Source organism: Homo sapiens, chromosome 11 (assembly GCF_000001405.40).
Source record: "Homo sapiens chromosome 11, GRCh38.p14 Primary Assembly".
Lineage (NCBI taxonomy): Eukaryota > Metazoa > Chordata > Mammalia > Primates > Hominidae > Homo > Homo sapiens.
This window is the reverse complement of record NC_000011.10, coordinates 129,742,993-129,761,422: the sequence shown is the minus strand read 5'-3', so window position 1 is coordinate 129,761,422 and position 18,430 is coordinate 129,742,993. Positions and strand designations below refer to the sequence as shown.

At 44.8% G+C, this 18,430-nt stretch overlaps 3 annotated features.

Annotated features, from left to right (window-relative positions):
• Nucleotides 10,378-10,877: an enhancer, noted in NCBI's record as "H3K4me1 hESC enhancer chr11:129620441-129620940 (GRCh37/hg19 assembly coordinates)". NCBI's record gives its function as "activates a minimal SCP1, AML or CMV promoter by ChIP-STARR-seq in naive and primed H9 embryonic stem cells {active_cell/tissue: H9 hESC(naive and primed)}" and the evidence as "EXISTENCE:reporter gene assay evidence [ECO:0000049][PMID:30033119]".
• Nucleotides 10,491-10,590: a silencer, noted in NCBI's record as "silent region_4066". NCBI's record gives its function as "represses an Ori minimal core promoter by ATAC-STARR-seq in GM12878 lymphoblastoid cells {active_cell/tissue: GM12878}" and the evidence as "EXISTENCE:reporter gene assay evidence [ECO:0000049][PMID:35858748]".
• Nucleotides 10,878-11,379: an enhancer, noted in NCBI's record as "H3K4me1 hESC enhancer chr11:129619939-129620440 (GRCh37/hg19 assembly coordinates)". NCBI's record gives its function as "activates a minimal SCP1, AML or CMV promoter by ChIP-STARR-seq in naive H9 embryonic stem cells {active_cell/tissue: H9 hESC(naive)}" and the evidence as "EXISTENCE:reporter gene assay evidence [ECO:0000049][PMID:30033119]".

The window sequence follows — 18,430 nt, the reverse complement described above, 5'->3', positions numbered from 1 at the left end:
CAAATGCTGGAGAGTAGAATGGATGAATGAATTGTAGTAATATTTATTGAATACAATACAATACAATAATGATAATGAATTAACTTGAACTATATCCAAGAAGGATGAATCTCACAGACATTATGTTGGCTGAAATGAGCCAATCACAGAAGTGTACATATTCTATAACTCTGCTACAGAAAGTTCAAAGAACAGACAAAACCAGTGCACAATATTAGAAGCTGGGATTGCATTTATCCTGGGGTAGGGGATGGAGTATTGGCTGGAAGTAGGGGTGAGTAGGCTCTCTGCTGCTTTTGTTGTGTTCTCTGTATCTGGGTGCTGGTTTTGAGGGTGTGTTCACTTCGTGAAAATCCATTGAGCTGTAAACTTATGACTTACGTACATTTCTGTATGTGTGTTTTTGTAAAACTTACAGGAAACAAAGGAGAAATATATTGCCATATATTGATTGGACTCTATTCAGGGCTATCTTGGAAACTGCAGCTTGAAGACAGCTGGGCCTCAGCATACGCCCTGACCTCCTGCAATCTAAGCTCTGGATCCTGGTCAACTTTGGGAGAATAATCAAGCCAATTTTCAGAGAAGCAGTTTCTATGTCTTTCAGGTCTTTGTGTCCTAAGGGATTAGGAGCATTAGGGACCTGGTCTCAGTGTGATCCTGAGAGCTCATCCATTCTCTGGTCATCCTTCAGAGAAATACCAGGCTCCTGAATTCATCTGCACAAATAGCTGGCCAGGCTACCTGCTTTCCACCATCCCATTGTCTTTCCTGCATTGTTCTGGGACTCTGGCCACACTCACCTTCCAAAATAACCGTGCAGTTGTCATCATTGTTCAGGAGACTATTTTGGAACACTGGCTTAGCTTGGTGATGTGTAGAGATCCAGGAAAGGCCTCAGCTGTCGGGAGGGAGGCCCAGGGCCATCAGAGAGCTGGGGGTGGTAAGAAGTGATGGGGATTGGGCTTCAGGAGGTGTGGAGGGGCCCAGGGGGAGCACCATTTCTGACAAGTGTTCGGTCATAGTGTGGAGACTTGGAAAGAAAGAGGAGAAAGGATGGGGGGGTGTGGGGTGCAGGTTGGAGGGAAGCTGGGAGGGGGGAAAACAGTGAAGGAACATTAGGTTGATTAGTGCTGGCGGAAGAGGTAAGGAGAGACTTTGTTCACAGAGGAGGGGCTGGGAAGTGAGGGTGTGAGTTGAAGGACACTAATGGTATGCTGACATATTGTTTCAAGAGCGGTTTCTATAGCCTGGAGGACTTAAGGACAGCTGTTGGGAACCTTCTACGGGGTGATAGAAAAGTAAGTGGGAGAAAAGGAGTGTGATGATTGACGGGCAGCCTAATGTCGAGTCAGGTGACATCTTGCCATATTTAGCAATGTAATAGGTGGTCAGATGACCTCACAGTCTTCAGGGCTGGGAGATGGCAGAATCTTCTCACAGGGGTTGTGACAGAGGAGTTGGGTAGATTTGTTCTCAGTGGGCAAAGGTGGAATTCGCTTCTCTTTTTCTGTTTTCTCTTGACATCACAGGCCTGCAGAAACAGCATACCATGAGTGAAAACCCCTCAATTGCATGGGATTTTGCACCCGCATGATTTGACAGGGTCTCTAGCTCTTTCAAAGTCTGCAGCAAGACAGAGGAAAAGTCTAGGCTCCTGTGGGGGTGTTTCATGTGCTTGTGTACAAATTAGCCCCCACAGGACTCTGCAGCTCCACGTCGCTCTGCTGGGCACTGGGACCATGTGCTCTGTTGGTCTACGGGAGCTTCTGTCTCCCTGGAGTTACAGTTTAAGAGAGGGGTTTCCAAAAAAGGATGCTAATGTCCCAGGATTTTATGGACTTTAAGTAAAACTTCTTTTTTTCTGTTGTACTCAGAATGTTTTGAAGCTTTGTTCCTAGGTCACCTCACAGTGCCTGAATTCTTTCCTTTCTTTTCTTAGACATGGGGTCTTGCTCTCTCGCCCAGGCTGGAGCATAGCAGCTATTCACAGGTGTGATCATAGCACACCGCAGCCTCCTGGGCTCAAGCAATCCCCCTGCTTCAGCCTCCTGAGTAGCTGGGACCATAAGCAGGAGCCCATGCCCAGCTTCAATTCTTCTTTTCCTACAATAAGTTCTGGTCCAGAAAATTTTGCAACTCACCCCCGTCCTTCACTCCACAAAAAGACTTCCACTGGGATTCCTGTCAATATGCCGACTCACTTGAATCCCTGGGATGGATCCAGCCTCGGTTTAAGTGCAGACTCCTGCTTCATCTCAGAGCCTGGCCATTTTGAGGAGCAGGTGGTTTTACCCGTCTGCCCACTGGCCCCTTGCTTCATTGTCTAGGCCTGTCCTTTCTCATCTAGTGCCCTAATCCCCTCCTCACCACCTCACAATGGAGAAAGCTCTGTGTTGCTTGCTTTCAGGATTTTCCTGCTTTTCAAAAGAGCCAGGGCACTGTGTGCTTTCATGCAGGACCTAAGCAAATAAGGACATCTCAAGGAGATGCCCAACTCTTAACCTGGTGCCCACCCCACCCTGGAGAGGACAGTTATTGTTCATAGTGTACACGATTGTTTATGTCAAAGACCCAATGAGTTTGCAAAGACCTCTTAGAACTAATAAGTGAGTTTAACAAGTTTGCAGGATATACAGTTAACACACACACACAAATCAATTGTATTTCTATACATCAGCATATTAGGGTTCTCTAGGGAAACAGAACCAATAGGATACACACACACATATACATATGTATATATGTGAGAGATACACAACCGTGTGTGTGTGTGTGTGTGTGTTTAAAAGAGGGAGAGCGAGACAGAGAGATTGGTTAATTTTAAGGAATTTGCTTGTGTGATTGTAGGGGCTGGCAAATTTGAATTCTACAGAGCAGGCTGTCAGGCTGGAGACCCAGGGAAGAGCTGATGTTGCAGCTCGCATCTGGAGGCTGTCTGCTGGTAGAATTCTCTCTTTCCCAAGGAACCTCAGTCTCTTTTCTCAAGGCCTACAACTGATTGGATGAGGCCCACTTACATTATGGAGGGTCATCTCCTTTACTCAAAGTTGATTTAAGTGTTAATCACATCTAAAACATTTCTTCACAGCATCATCTAGACTGGTGTTTGAGCCCAAACTGTCTACCATGGCTTGGCCAAGTTGACACATAAAATTAACCATCAAGGCCGGGTGCGGTGGCTCACGCCTGTAATCCCAGCACTTTGGGAGGCCGAGGCGGGTGGGTCACAAGGTCAGGAGATTGAGACCATCCTGGCTAACATGGTGAAACCCCATCTCTACTAAAAATACAAAAAACTAGCCAGGAGTGGTGGCGGGCACCTGTAGTCCCAGCTACTCAGGAGGCTGAGGTAGGAGAATGGTGTGAACCCATGAGGCAGAGCTTGCAGTGAGTGAGATCGCGCCACTGCACTGCAGCCTGGGCGACAGAGCGAGACTCTGTCTCAAAAAAAAAAAAAAAATTCAACCATCACAACCAGAAATGTGTAATTGGATAGGAAAATTGAAAACCAGTACCACATAGAATACCAAAAAATGAAATAGATGAACATCTTACTGAAAGCTACAGAATACCAGTGAAAATACTCAAAGAAGATACAAACAAATAAAAAGAAACACCATATTTGAAGATTGGAATACTTAACTTTAAAAAGTTGCCAATTCTGCCAAAACTGATGTAGAGGTTTAAAACAATTCCAGTCAAAGTATCACGAGGACATTTTGTTGTTACAGACAAGCTGATTCTAATGTTTACATGGAAAGGCCAAGGACTAGAATAGCTAAAACAACTTTGAAAAATAAGAATAATGGTGTAGGAAACATGCTACCCAGTTTTAAGACATATTACAAAGTTACAGTAATCAGGACAGTATGGTATTGCATGGGAACATAGAGATCAATGAAACAGAATTGAGTCCAGAAAGATAACTGCTTAAATATGGCCATGTGATTTTTGACAAGGGTGCAAAGGTAATTCAATAAAGGATCATATTTTCAACAAATGATGTTAGAACAACTGAACATTCATATAAACAAACAAAACAGACAGAAGACTGAAACCTTACAGCTTGTATACAGATGAACTCAATATTGATAAGAGATGTAAATGTAAAAGTGAAGCTCTAAAAAGTTTAGAAAAGAACATAGTAGAAAATCTCTTCCTGGGATTAAGGAAGAGAGTTCTTAGACATGGTACCATAAGCATGATCCTTAAAAGAAAAAGTTGATAAATTGGTCTTTATCGAAATTAAAAGACTTAAGATGCTATTAAGAGAATGAAAACACTATAGCTGGGGAGAAAAAATTTGCAAGTTGCATCTGTCACAAGACTTTGCAGAATATATAAATGGCAAATAAAACACAAAAAGATGTTCAATATCATTAAGCATTAGAGACTTGTAAACTAAAACCAAACACACCTATTAGAATTGCTGAAAAAAGGAAAACCTTTGGTAATACCAAGAGCTGTTGAGAGCAATTGCAATTCTTTTTTATTATTATTATTATACTTTAAGTTCTGGGGTACAAGTGCAGAACGTGCAGTTTTGTTACATAGGGATACATGTGTCATGGTGGTTTACTGCGCCAATCAACCCGTCACCTACATTAGGTATTTATCCTAATGTTATCCCTCTCCTAGCCCCCCACCCCCTGACAGGCCCTGATGTGTGATGTACCCCTTCCTATGTCCATGTGTTCTCATTGTTCAACTCCCACTTATGAGTGAGAACATGCGGTGTTTGGTTTTCTGTCCTTGTGATAGTTTGCTAAGAATGACGATTTCCATCTTCATCCATGTCCCTGCAAAGGACGTGAACTCATCCTTTTTTATGGCTGCGTAGTATTCCATGGGGGTATATGTGCTACATTTTCTTTATCCCGTCTATTATTGATGGACATTTGAGTTGGTTCCAAGTCTTTGCTCTTGTGAATAGTGCCACAGTAAACATACGTGTACATGTGTCTTTATAGTAGAATGATGTTTAATCCTTTGGGTATATACCCAGAAATGGGATTGTGGGGTCAAATGGTAATTCTAGTTCTAGATCCTTGAGGAATCGCCACACTGTCTTCCACAATGGTTGAACTAATTTACACTCCCACCAACAGTGTAAAAGCATTCCTATTTCTCCACATCCTCTCTAGTATTTGTTGTTTCCTGACTTTTTAATGATTGCCCTTCTAACTGGCGTGAGATGGTATCTCATTGTGGTTTTGATTTGCATCTCTCTAATGACCAGTGACGATGAGCATTTTTTCATGTCTGTGGGCTACATAAATGTCTTCTTTTGAGAAGTGCCTGTTCATATTCTTTGCCCACTTTTTGATGAGGTTGTTTATTTCTTGTAAATTTGTTTAAGTTCTTTGTAGATTCTGGATATTACTCCTTTGTCAGATGGACAGATTACAAAAATTTTCTCCCGTTCTATAGGTTGCCTGTTCACTCTGATGATAGTTTCTTTTGCTGTGCAGAAGCTCTTTAGTTTAATTAGATCTGATTTGTCAATTTTGGCTTTTGTTGCCATTGCTTTTGGTGTTTTAGTCATGAAGTCTTTGCCCATGCCTATGTCCTGAATGGTATTGCCCAGGTTTACTTCTAGGATTTTTATGGTCGTAGGTCTTATGTTTAAGTCTTTGATCCATCTTGAGTTGTTTTTTGTATAAGGAAGGGGTCCAGTTTCAGTTTTCTGCATATGGCTACCCAGTTTTCCCAACACCATTTATTAAATAGGGAATCTTTTCCTCATTGCTTGTTTGTGTCAGGTTTGCCAAAGATCAGATGGTTGTAGATGTGTGGTGTTATTTCCGAGGCCTCAGTTCTGTTCCATTGGTCCATGTATCTGTTTTGGTACCAGTACCATGTTGTTTTGGTTACTGTAGCCTTGTAGTATAGTCTGAAGTCCAGTAGCGTGATGCCTCAAGCTTTGTTCTTCTTGCCCAGGATTGTCTTGGCTATGCAGGCTGTCTTTTGTTTCCATATGAAGTTTAAAGTAGTTTTTTCCAATTCTGTGAAGAAAGTCAGTGGTAGCTTGATGGGGATAGATTGAATCTATAAATTACTTTGGGCAGTATGGCCACTTTCACAATATTGTTTCTTCCTATCCATGAGCATGGAATATTTTTCCATTTGCTTGTGTCCTCTCTTATTTCCTTGAGCAGTGGTTTGTAATTCTCCTTGAAAAGGTCGTTCACATCCCTTGTAAGTCGTATTCCAGGTATTTTATTTTATTTGTAGTAATTGTGAATTGGGAGTTCACTCATGATTTGGTGCTCTGTTTGTGTTATTGGTGTATAGGAATGCTTGTGATTTTTGCACATTGATTTTGTATCCTGATACTTTGCTGAAGTTGCTTATCAGATTAAGGAGATTTTGGGCTGAGATGAAGGGGTTTTCTAAATATAAAATCATGTCATCTGCAAATACAGACGATTTGATTTCCTCTGTTCGTATTTGAATACCCTTTATTTCTTTCTCTTGCATGATTGCCCTGGCCAGAACTTCCAACACTATGTTGAATAGGAGTGGTGAGAGAGGGCATCCATGTCTTGTGCTGGTTTTCAAAGGGAATGCTTCCAGTTTTTGCCAATATTGGCTATGGGTTTGTCATAAATAGCTCTTATTATTTTGAGATACGTTCCATCGATACCTAGCTTGTTGAGAGTTTTTAGCATTGAAGGGGTGTTGAATTTTGTCAAAGGCCTTTTCTGCATCTATTGAGATAATCATGTGGTTTTGTCATTGGTTCTGTTTATATGCTGGATTACGTTTATTGATTTTCATATGTTGAACCAGCCTTGCATCCCAGGGATGAAGCCGACTTGATCGTGGTGATAAGGTTTTTGATGCTGCTGGTTTCAGTTTGCCAGTATTTTATTGAGGATTTTCTCATGGATGTTCCTCAGGGATATTGGCCTGAAATTTTCTTTTTTTGTTGTGTCTCTGCCAGGTTTTGGCATTGGGATGATGCTGGCCTCATAAAATGAGTTAGGGAGGATTCTCTCTTTTTCTATTGTTTGGAAAAGTTTCAGAAAGAATGGTACCAGCTCCTCTTTGTACCTCTGGTAGAATTCAGCTGTGAATCCGTGTGGTCCTGGACTTTTTTTGGTTGGTAAGCTATTACTGCCTCAATTTCAGAACTTGTTATTGGTTTATTCAGGGATTCAGCTTCTTCCTGGTTTAGACTTGGGAGGGTGTATGTGTCCAGGAATTTATCCATTTCTTCTAGATTTCTGAGTTTATTTGCATAGAAGTGTTTTTATAGTAGTCTCTGTTGGTAGTTTGTATTTCTGTGGGATCAGTGGTGATATCCCCTATATCATTTTTTATTGCATCTGTTTGATTCTTCTCTCTATTGCAATTCTTTTTTTTTTTTCTTTTTGAGACTGAGTCTCGCTCTGTCCCCCAGGCTGGAGTGCAGTGGCGTGATCTCGGCTCACTGCAAGCTCCGCCTCCCAGGTTCATGCCATTCTCCTGCCTCAGCCTCCTGAGTAGTTGGGACTACAGGTGCCCACCACCGTGCCTGGCTAATTTTTTGTATTTTTAGTAGAGACAGGGTTTCATTGTGTTAGCCAGGATGGTCTCAATCTCCTGATCTCGTGATCCGCCCGCCTCGGCCTCCCAAAGCTCTATTTCAAATTTTATACATTGTGGGTGGGAATAAAAAATGGTATAGCCAGTCTGGAAAAGTTTGGCAATTTCTTATAAAGCTAACGTGTTTGTCTTATAACCCAGAAACCCCACTTCCTAGAGAAGTGAAAACTTATGCTTACATAAAAACCTTTATATAAATGTTCTGTTGATAATTCTGTGATTATCTGATGTTCTATTCATAATTGCTCCAAGCAAATGTCCTTCAACAGGTGACTGAACAGGTTAATGCATGAAGAAGTTGTGGTATATCCATACAATGAAATACTACTCAGCAGTAGAAAGGAATGAACTGTTTACACATGCAGCAGCTGAGCACTTTCCAAGGCATGATGCTGGGGGATGGGGAAGGAAGTAGTCTCAGAAGTTTACGTGCTGTATTTCTCATTTTTGAGAAGATAAAATACTGATGGAGGATAGATCTGTGGTTGCCAGGAGTTACGAATGGGAGAGGCTGTGATTATAAAGGGAAAACATGAGGGAGTTTTTAGGGGTGTGATGGCACTATTTTGAATCCTGATTGTGGCAGTGCTTATGTGAATCTATACATATGTAAAAATTATAGAACTGTACACTAAAAAAAAATGTGTGTGTGTGTGTGTGTGTATATATATATATATATATATATTTTTTTAGATAGGATCTCATTCTGTTATCCAAGCTGGAGTGCGGTGGCACAATCATGGCTCCCTATAGCTTCAAACTCCTGGGCTCAGGTGATTCTCCCACCCTCAGCCTGCTGAATAACTGGGACTACAGGCATGTGCCACCGTGCCTGGCTAATTTTTTGTATTTTGTAGAGATGGGGTTTCGCCATGTTGCCTAAGCTGGTCTCAAACTCGTGGGCTCAAGCGATCCACCTGTCTCAGCCTCCAAAGTGTGTGAGCCACTGTGCCTGGCCTGTGTGATGATTTAAAGAATAAAATTAATAAAATTATAGATGATGAACATTGGATTCTGATATGGGCCTCCAGTTCCTCCTTGCTAAGGTGAGGCTGATGATTTGCAATCTGTGCAGCCATTATCAAAATGCTGACCCAGTCTTGCACCTCTATTCTGAGGCTTATGTATTTTGATCTGCTTTCTTGCTTTAGACCCATTATGACTGAAAAGACTTCTTAAATTTTGCTTTTCCATTCCAGAAATGACTGATTCCAACCTTTCTCCCCAGCTGCTCAGCATGGGCCTCCAGCTGTGCTCTGCACACTCTGATAGCGGAGAGCTTGTACTCACCCCCCATGTTTGAAATATAATTTGCATACAGTATAATGCATAGATCTGAAATATATAATTCAATGAGCTTTGGCAAATATATACAGTTGTGTGTTCATACATGTTTTACAACTGGCTCTCTGGTGGGATAAAAAAGCCCTGCTTTGTAGTGTTTGCCAATTTCTGGAGTATAAATATTTCCACCACGGTGGATTCCAAGCTATCAATGTGATGCTGACTGGCTTGCAAACATCCTGAAAAATTAACAGTCCACTCTCTTGATGGTGCCAGCAGGCTTCAGCACACCACTGCCTGTACATAACTGTGCAACCAGCACCTAGATCAACATTCAGGACATGCCCATCACCCCATAAGTTGCCTAGTGCCCCTCCGCAGTCAATCCCCACCCCTATCCTGTGTGGACAACGATTCTGATTTCTATCTCCATCATTTAGGTTTTCATATTCTAGAACTTCATGCAAATACAGTATATTTTTGGCCTGACTTTCTATTTTTGCCTCAGATTTGAGAGTCCCTCCTGCGGTGTTTATCTGGTTGTTTGTCTTTTTCATTGCCCAGTAATGTTTCATTGTATGGATGTACTATCATTGATTCTCCTGTTAATTGGCATTTGGGTTGTTCAAAGTTTTGGGATTTTCTGAGTAATCTTGAAAGTACTTGAGAGGCTGTAAAAAAGAGGTTCTAATATTCCTGGCAAAACTTTCTGCTGGGAAGAGGAAATAGATCCTGAAGCTTCAGATTTTACTGGCGATAATGAAAGAGCATCTTTGAAAGTGTCTAGCATGTGGCAGACATTCAATAAATGTTAGTGGAGTCTCACTTTGGCAGAATTCTGCTTCTAGGATCTGTGCCCAGAAATAGATCGTCTTTTACAGAAAGGTCAGAATCAACCATTGTAGAGAAAATTTAAAAATACCTCAGAGAGATTCCATCTTCTCATTTGATAAATCCATTTCAGGAATATTTCACGATTCTAACAATTAGAAAAATGTCTATGTGATATTTTTATGTTATACTTTAAAGCCTACCTGTTATACATATTATCTGATTTACTTCATACACATTTAATTTTCATTTTATGCACATTATTTTATTTAACTTTTGCTACAATGCTGCAAGGTAAATGTACTTCTACTTTACAGATAAGGACAAATGAGGCTCAGAAATGCTAAGTAACTTTCCTAGCTCACGGAGCTAGTGAGAATTTGATTGCAGTTGCCTGACTCCAAAATGCATGCGTTTTCCTCTGCAACGTGCGGCCCCACCATGTTCACACCTCACTACAGACAGGAAGCACATGTTATTCAGATAATCGCTACCCATTTTCCTTTCATCCTCGTTTTTCCAGCGAGCAAAACATCTTGTACAGTCAGTTTCTTTTTTCATTTCAAAAGTACACTTTGAATAGGCTCAGGACGGCCTGATTTAAGCAAGCAGAAGGAAAAATCCTTACAAAATCTGTGTGGGCCAATCAGCAATGTGACAGAACGTTCGGCAGATGGCGCTGTTTCCACACGAGCGTAACGGCGGCCACAAGCGTTCTGCCGCCAGGGGGCGCCGCGTTCCGCCGGAGAAGCGTGGCTCCCGGGCGCGCGGCCGCCGCCTGCCCAGCACCGGCGCAGGGCCCACGCCTCCGTCGCGGTGCGTCCTTTCCCTCCAGGTGGGACGCTGCAGGCCCAGCCGCTCCCTGTGCCTCCAGACAGCCAGGGCTCTCACGTGGATAGGCTGCTGGACCAAGCTCAGTCCAGGAGGCCGGCTTCAACAGCTTCTGCTCAGCTCTCCCGGGCAGCACAGGACTGTGCAGAGCCTCCCCTAAACCTCATTCTTTTCATGGGCAAAGGGAAGCACAGCAGCGTTTGCCTGTTCTTGCCAAGTTAGCACCGAGGAAGTTTCATCAGGGAGGGGCAGGGGCCTCAGAACAGGGAGGCCGCAGGGCGGCCTCGGCAGAAGGTGAGTGCTGGCAGCCCGTGGCCCGAGACGTTAAGCACTGCGGGGAGAAAAGGAGAAAGAAGCTCCTCGAACTTTAGGCCCACTCCGGTGTGTGAGGAGCCCGGCCGAGAGCTGAGAGCAGCCTGGTCTTCCCTTCTCGGTGAGGCTTGCGCACTTGCCTCCCTTGCTGCTTCCAGAGTCATAGCCCCGGCCAGTCCTCCAAGGGCCCGCGTTCCACCATGGCCAGACATTCCCTTTGAGAGTCTGCAAAGCTTGTTTTCTCTCGGAGAATTCTAGGCAATGCAGGTCAAAGAAAGGATTTTGAATCAAGTCCTCGGCTACGTCAGATGGAAGTGCTTACAAGAGCTGCATTAATGGAATAATTCTTTTACTCCATGATCTGACTCCTGTCTACGTCTTTAATATTTTATTTTATTTTCATTTTTTTTTAGAGTCAGAGTCTCTCTCTGTCGCCCAGGCTGGAGTGCAGTGGCACAATCACTGCGCACTGTAGCCTTAACCTCCTGCGCTCAAGCAATCCTCCCACCTCAGCCTCCTGAGTGGCTGGGACCACAGGTGTGCCACCACATCCATGTCCAGTGTTCATTCTCACTATTTTCCCCGACGCCTGCTGTTGCTTTTTTATACTACTTGCAGTTCCTCGCAATGTTGCAGAAGCACTGCCTCCTCCGTGATGGCCTTTGGGTTCGTCTAACTCTTCCTTCATGGTTTGTCCCCTTTATAGAATCAATAGCGCCTATCCCAGAAATCCAAAATTTTCACTGCACTTGAGACTATTTACTTATCCATCTCTGTCTTCTGGGCTGTCATCTCATTGAGTTCATATTCACCTTTGAATCTCCAGCATGCAGCCTGAGGACTGGAGGTCGCACTTAGTAGGTGTTCACTGAGTGAATAAAGGAAGGATAAAAACACTCTTCACTTTGCATTTAGGGAAAAAATAGATAATACAGAGATTTCCATCAAAACCAAACCAAGCCAATGTCTCTTGGAACCACACTGACAGTTTATGCCTTGGACAACTGGTGTGATGGTTTATGGTTTCTTCATTGTTGCTATGTATGTCTGTGAACGTATTTGTCTTTTAAATTACTTACTGGAGCAAGAAGTTCACTTTTACTTCATAAGGTAGATCCTTGAAACAGTCACTACTTTTAAAATAAAGTCTTCCCCTGTCCTCCTTGAAAGGTTCTTCTCGGGCTGCGTGTTGCAAGATCCTTCCTTGCAAGGCAGTCGATGCTGTCTTATCCCCTCCCCTGGAGCAGAACTGGGGTTACCTCTGGTAGCTTTGGACGTGGCCATCCAGGGTTGGTTTTGTAGAGATGAGACTCAGAGACATCAAATAATCTTTCCTTTACTCAGCATTGGAAGATTTCAAAGAAAGTATGTGCAGGAGGCAGAAGGTGGGGTCAGGATTGTTTAAATTTGGGGAGCTGCTTTTCTAGGGCAGTGAGAATTCTCTTGCTGGGTGGAGTTTGGTGCATGCAGCTGGGCTGGGGGTCGCTCCCAGCAGGGAACTCCTAAGTGCCAGCCCAGGCTCTCTGACCTGGGGCTAGTCTCCATTGGCAAATGCCACCCTCTGTCTCCCATCATCTCTCCCCTCATCTATGAAGAGGCAGGAAGGAGCTCTGGGAGGTGGGAGAGAGCAGAGGCCACAGTCAGTGTCCTCTGGACATGTTGATAGCTAGAAGCAGAGCTGAGGCCCTGGGGACAGACACCTTGTCCTTATGCTGAAGAGACCCTTTTTTAGCGGTCATTGCAAGTTGAGTTGGGATAAGGATTCTAGGTCTGGTTTATTTTTTTCTGGAAAGTATATACTTCCTCCGTTTCTCTGGCCTGATTACTGCCCACATGCCACCAGGGGATAGCTGTCCTTCTGCAGTAGTGGGAGACATGGAAGATCATGGACTCTGGAGCTGGACTCTCTGGGTTCAGATCCTGGCTTTGCCTCTTAGTAGCTGTGTGACTTTGGGCCATTCAGGTAACATCTCTGTGCCTAAATCACCTGTTCTGTAAGGTGGGTTCACCTCATAAGGCAGCTGTGAAAATTAAGCAGATTAGCACATGTTAAATGCCGATGACAGCACCAGCATGTAACCAGTATGCAGAGGACATGAGCTCTTACTGTGCCTGCCTTCTCCTTTCCCCAGCCCTCTCCCTTCAAGGTGGTCCCTGTTCATCTCAACAGGTACTCATTGGTGCCCCTGTACCCAGCACCATGACAGGCACTGAGGGGGATACAAGGAAGCTTAGACGTGGTTTCCATTCTCAAGAGGCTTATGATATGGGGACATGGAGACAAAAGCAAAGTAATAAAAATAAAAAACAGGGGAGGGAGTGGGGAAAGAATTGAAAAACTTCCTATTGGGTACTGTGTTCACTACTTGGGTGAAAGGATCGTTAGAAACCCAAACCTCAGTATCATGAAGATACTCATGGAACAAACCCACACATGTACCTCTTGAACCTAAAATAAAAATAGAGGCCGGGTGCAGTGGCTCCCACCTCTAATCCTAGCACTTTGGGAGGCAGGGGTGGGTAGATCACTTGAGGCCAGGAGTTCGAGACCAGCCTGGCCAACATGGTGAAACCCTGTCTCTACTAAAAATACAAAACTTAGGTGTGGTGGCTCACGCCTGTAACCCCAGCTACTCAGGAGGCTGAGGCACAAGAATCACTTGAACCAGGGAGGCACAGGTTGCAGTCAGCCAAGATCACACCACTGCACTCCAGCCTGGGTGACAGAGCAAGACTCTGTCTCAAAGATTAAAAAAAAAAAAAAAAGCAACTTTGTTAAAATATATGCCACTAATATATAAGTGTCATAGGAGTTCAAAAGAAGGAGACAGGGGGATGTGAGTGGCTTCATGAAAGAAGCCAAACTTGATTTGGGCCCGAAAGGGGGCAGAATATGGAGAACGGATTTTATGACTTTCCCCCCCACTATCTACAACTCTCTGAATTGTTCTGGCTTCTAAATCAAGATGGCAAAAACAATTGTCACCGCTCAGCTCAGGGAAATTCTCATGATGCCAGTTTACCTGGCAAGTTATACACAGGCTTAGGCCACTGCTGCCTTTGAAACTGTAGGAAAAATGCAAAACGTTCAAGGGCTGTCCCATTCCTCTGAATAAATACCCCTAAAGCAAGTGGTCCGACTCTGGGGTTGAGCTTCCCCCAGGCTTCGATGTCTGCCTGCGCTGTGGCTGTAGATGACTGACTTCCAGCCCAGTACATTCCACTGCTCTGAGCTGCTCCTGTTTCCCTCCAGAAGTCTGCAAAGCATTAAGCACTATATTTAACTCCAGCCTAAAAGAAAAATGCCTGCCTCTGAGCATCCAGACAGGAGAAAGGATTTTCACCTCCGAGGACACACAGTCATTGTTCACCTTGAAGCCATGGACACACAGGCCCGGAATGTTCATCCCCTCCTGGCTCTAGCTTTAGCTTTTGGGTGGGCTCAAGAAAGTGGAGGCCATTTTGATGACACTCAGTAGGTTAAGACCCCACACGTGGGAAGTTGGCTGGCTGAGTGGGGCTTTGTGCACAGCCTTGTGTAGTTAACCATTAACGGCTCATGAGAATCATCTGAGGAGCCTGTGGAAGTTGCAGATGGTGGGATCCGTGCTCAGCGGTTCTGAGTCCATCGGTCTGCGATGATGCCCAGGGATCTGTGTCTTTAACACACAAGCCAGGGGATTCTGGCGAGGGTGATCTTGGACTAGACGTGGTAGAGAACAGTTAGCTGGAGCTATTGGCGACTTTGTCAAAAGAGGCAAAGGAAGGAAAAAAGGTGGAAGCTGAAGCAGGGGGAGTGATTTTGAATGGTTTATGAACTGAATGACGAGGACACAAATTAAGGCAAATCATTAATTACATCATAGCCTCAAGAAGGCCCAGAGCAGGGATTTACAGCCCCATTCAAAGAAGAACTCAGCTTTGGAGTCATCAACGCAGGGAAGCTGAGGCTGGGGACCACGACGGGTGATGACCTGGGACCAACCCTGTTTCACCCAGAACACCTTCACTTTGATCTATTTTTATATACATGGGTTCCATGTAGGATGTCATTTGAAAACTGGCCACTGCTAAAAGAAGTTAAAAAGAAATCATTAACCTAGAGATTAAGTGTTTGGAAAACCTTAATCTCCCTGGGTGACTGGCGGAGCGGTGTTCTATTAGGTCTAGATCGTTTTATCTGCAAGAGCAGGATGACTTTGGACAGAATGCTTGTGCATAGGCCTTTTGGCTCTTCGTGTTCTTTTCTCCCTTTTAGCCAGTTCTCCTCTAATTTTTCTGTGATCTAGATCCATTTGAGAATCCTGTGAAAGCTTTGGACCTTTCCTGAGGAAAATGCACCTAGGCACACACCTATACACATTGGCATTCAATTTTGGTGGGGGTTATGGGCTCTGTGAAGCCCATCTGTACCCTTGGTGATCACACCCCCCTCTCAACTGTTAACTATTTATTTTATAGCGGTACCACGGTTATTCTTTGCTTCAAGTCTTTCAACTAGACTGCAAGCCTCTTGAGTCTAGAAACTGTGTCCTTTACAATGGCGGTCTAAAACGGGAAGGACAAGATGATCCGTTGCAGCATAAGAAGGAAGTTTTAGAACTTCTACTTATTTTTAATATTATCCCTTTTCAGTTTCTATTTTTCTATATTTCTATAATGCTCTCCTTGTATTAAAATAGTCCTTCATCTTCTCCTTCTCCTCCCCCTCCTTCCTCGTCTTATTATTATTTTGAGACAGAGTCTCTGTTGCCAGGCTGGAGTGCTGTGGTCCTATCTCGGCTCACTGCAACTTCTGCGTCCTGGGTTCAAGCGATTCTTCTGCCTCAGCCTCCCGAGTAGCTGGGATTACAGGCATGCACCAGCACGCCCAGCTAATTTTTGTATTTTTAGTAGAGTCAGGGTTTCACCACGTTGGCCAGGATGGTCTCGATCTCATGACCACGTGATCTGCCTGCCTTGGCCTCCCAAAGTGCTGGGATTACAGGCGTGAGCCACCGTGCCTGGCCGAATAGCTCATATCATTTAAATAAATATACATATTCTGAAGGTGCCATGTTAAAAACTTACTGATAATGATAACATGATTCAGAAAGCTTGGAGTACTCTGCTTTACAGAATTTTTTTTTTGACACTCATGCTGAGCATTTTGCTAGGTGTTGGAGATTAAAAAAATGATGTAGTTTCTACTCTCAGGGAACTTAACAGTTTAATTTTGCACATAGTAGGTTTTTTGTTTTGAATGGAGGAGCTGAGATTTGAGTCTGGCTTATTTGACTCCAAGTCAGTAACTGGATGATGAGTTAATTCTTCCAAGGTGGGTCATGCGCTGCATATTTAGGAAGCCACTGCCTCTGGGAAAACCACCCCACAGAATATGCTCCCACTTGGTATGAAATGTGAAGACAGGGTCGCTGATCTTATCATCCTTAGGTAGAGTCGCTAGTTAGCAGTGGTTCTGGAATTCTTACATGGCAGCTGCTCAAGAGTGGCACTTTCATTAGAAGGACGAAGCTTGAGACTGAGGTTGAATGCACTCTTGCACAGCAACCCACCACGATTACTTAGATTTTGTTGATTTGCTGTGGTCTTAGGGACATGATGGAGACTATGGGGTAGAAATTGGGTACAGTTATCTCAAGCCATTTCTTTCTTTCTTTTTTTTTTTTTTGAGACGGAGTCTCCCTCTGTCGCCCAGGCTGGAGTGCAATGGCACGATCTCGGCTCACTGCAACCTCTGCCTCCTGGGTTCAAGCGATTCTCCTGCCTCAGCCTCCTTAGTAGCTGGGATTACAGGCGTGTGCCACCACGCCCAGCTAGTTTTTGTATTATTAGTAGAGACGAGGTTTCACCATGTTGGCCAGGCTGGTCTCGAACTCCTGACCTCAGGTGATCCGCCCACCCCGGCCTCCCAAAGTGCGGGATTACAGGCGTGAGCCAATGTGCCTGGATAGTTTTTGTATTATTAGTAGAGACGGGGTTTCACCATGTTGGCCAGGCTGGTCTTGAACTCCTGACCTCAGGTGATCCGCCCACCCCGGCCTCCCAAAGTGCGGGATTACAGGCGTGAGCCAATGTGCCTGGATAGTTTTTGTATTATTAGTAGAGACGGGGTTTCACCATGTTGGCCAGGCTGGTCTTGAACTCCTGACCTCAGGTGATCCACCCATCCCGGCCTCCCAAAGTTCTGGGATTACAGGCGTGAGTCACCGCGCCCGGCATCAAGCCACTTCTTAGAGTTGTCTCAGGATCTCATGAGAAACTGAAGTAAAATTTTGGGGAAAAGGCAACCAGTGGAAGTGGCTGGGGCAGAGGAGCCGGGATGAGAACACAGCTGAAGAGAGAACACGGCAAGGCTGCTCAGAGCTTCCCGGCAGCCTAGGACATCCAACCCCAAACAGCGCATTTCTCAGAGCAACTGGTAGCCTGGACCCATCTCTCAACAGCTGTCGACCATTTATTAGTAAGACTCCACTGAAGCCAAGGGAATGGGGAAGGAGAGCAGACAAATGGGGAAAATAAAATTGTGTTAATGACCAGTCCATTTCCATGAAGCGAAGGTGACCCAGTCTGTCATCTCCTCGCGGTGGCTGGTGTTTTGTTGGCGCTGACATTTGCAGAGAGTGCCCCCAGCCGGGTGTCTGTTGCCCCATTGCCATGGAGACCCCAGCTGCAGAGACGTCTCCTTTGAGACCGCACCGCCCGAGATTTCAGGAACCATTTTGGAAGCATTTGTCCCGACAGCGCCTGCTAATCTCCCTTTCATTTGCAATTATTTTATCGCCTTGCTTCTCTGCCTTGGCATCGTTCCCGCAGCTAACTCTGCTCCCCGACACGGGGTCCGTGGGGAGGTGTCGGCCGCCGCAGCCCAGTCTGGGTGGAGATGAAAAGCGAGTGGAAAGGCAAGACTTGCTAGGGCGCTGCTGTCTTCAAACAGGCCCCGTCTCCTGGAGGCAGCCCTGGGAGGGCCTTGGCTGATTGAAGTAGCCCGAATTATGAAGCCTGAAGCCTTTGAGGCCAGCCGCCCCATCCAGGCCAGGAGTAATTGAACAAATAGTTTATCTGGCTAACCAACAGCTGTAGAGCCCAGGCGATTTGGAGAGGATTAGGGGAGAGTAGTGAAAGAATACTCCCACAGGGTCCTCCAAATCCTCCTCCTGAATCCTACCAACGAAGAACACATGTTGGAGCCCTGGAATTGCTTTTTAAGTTCGTTTCTCTCCCTTTCCAAGCGACTCGGTGCAGCGCTGGCAAGAATTTTAAGTGGCTGAAGCAACGTCTTTGGGGTCGCTGCCATTGGGTTCCTTTCAGTTGCCTCCTTCAATTCCTCCAAACCTCGCTTCATCCCAGACAGCTCAGATTCATGCAGAGATTCCGATCGCCCTGGGAGGAGCCTGAGGGTTGCTGCCTTTTCCTCAAGTCTACATTGCTGGCAGCTGTTGTAATGTCTAAGTGAAGGGCCAGGACCGAGTTCAGGTTAGGATAAAAGGGGAGGTGAGAGGGTGGCTGGATAAAGAGAGAGGACATGAGGAATTCCCTTCCCTGTGTGAGAAAAAGTTGAAAAAAGAAGAAAAAAAAG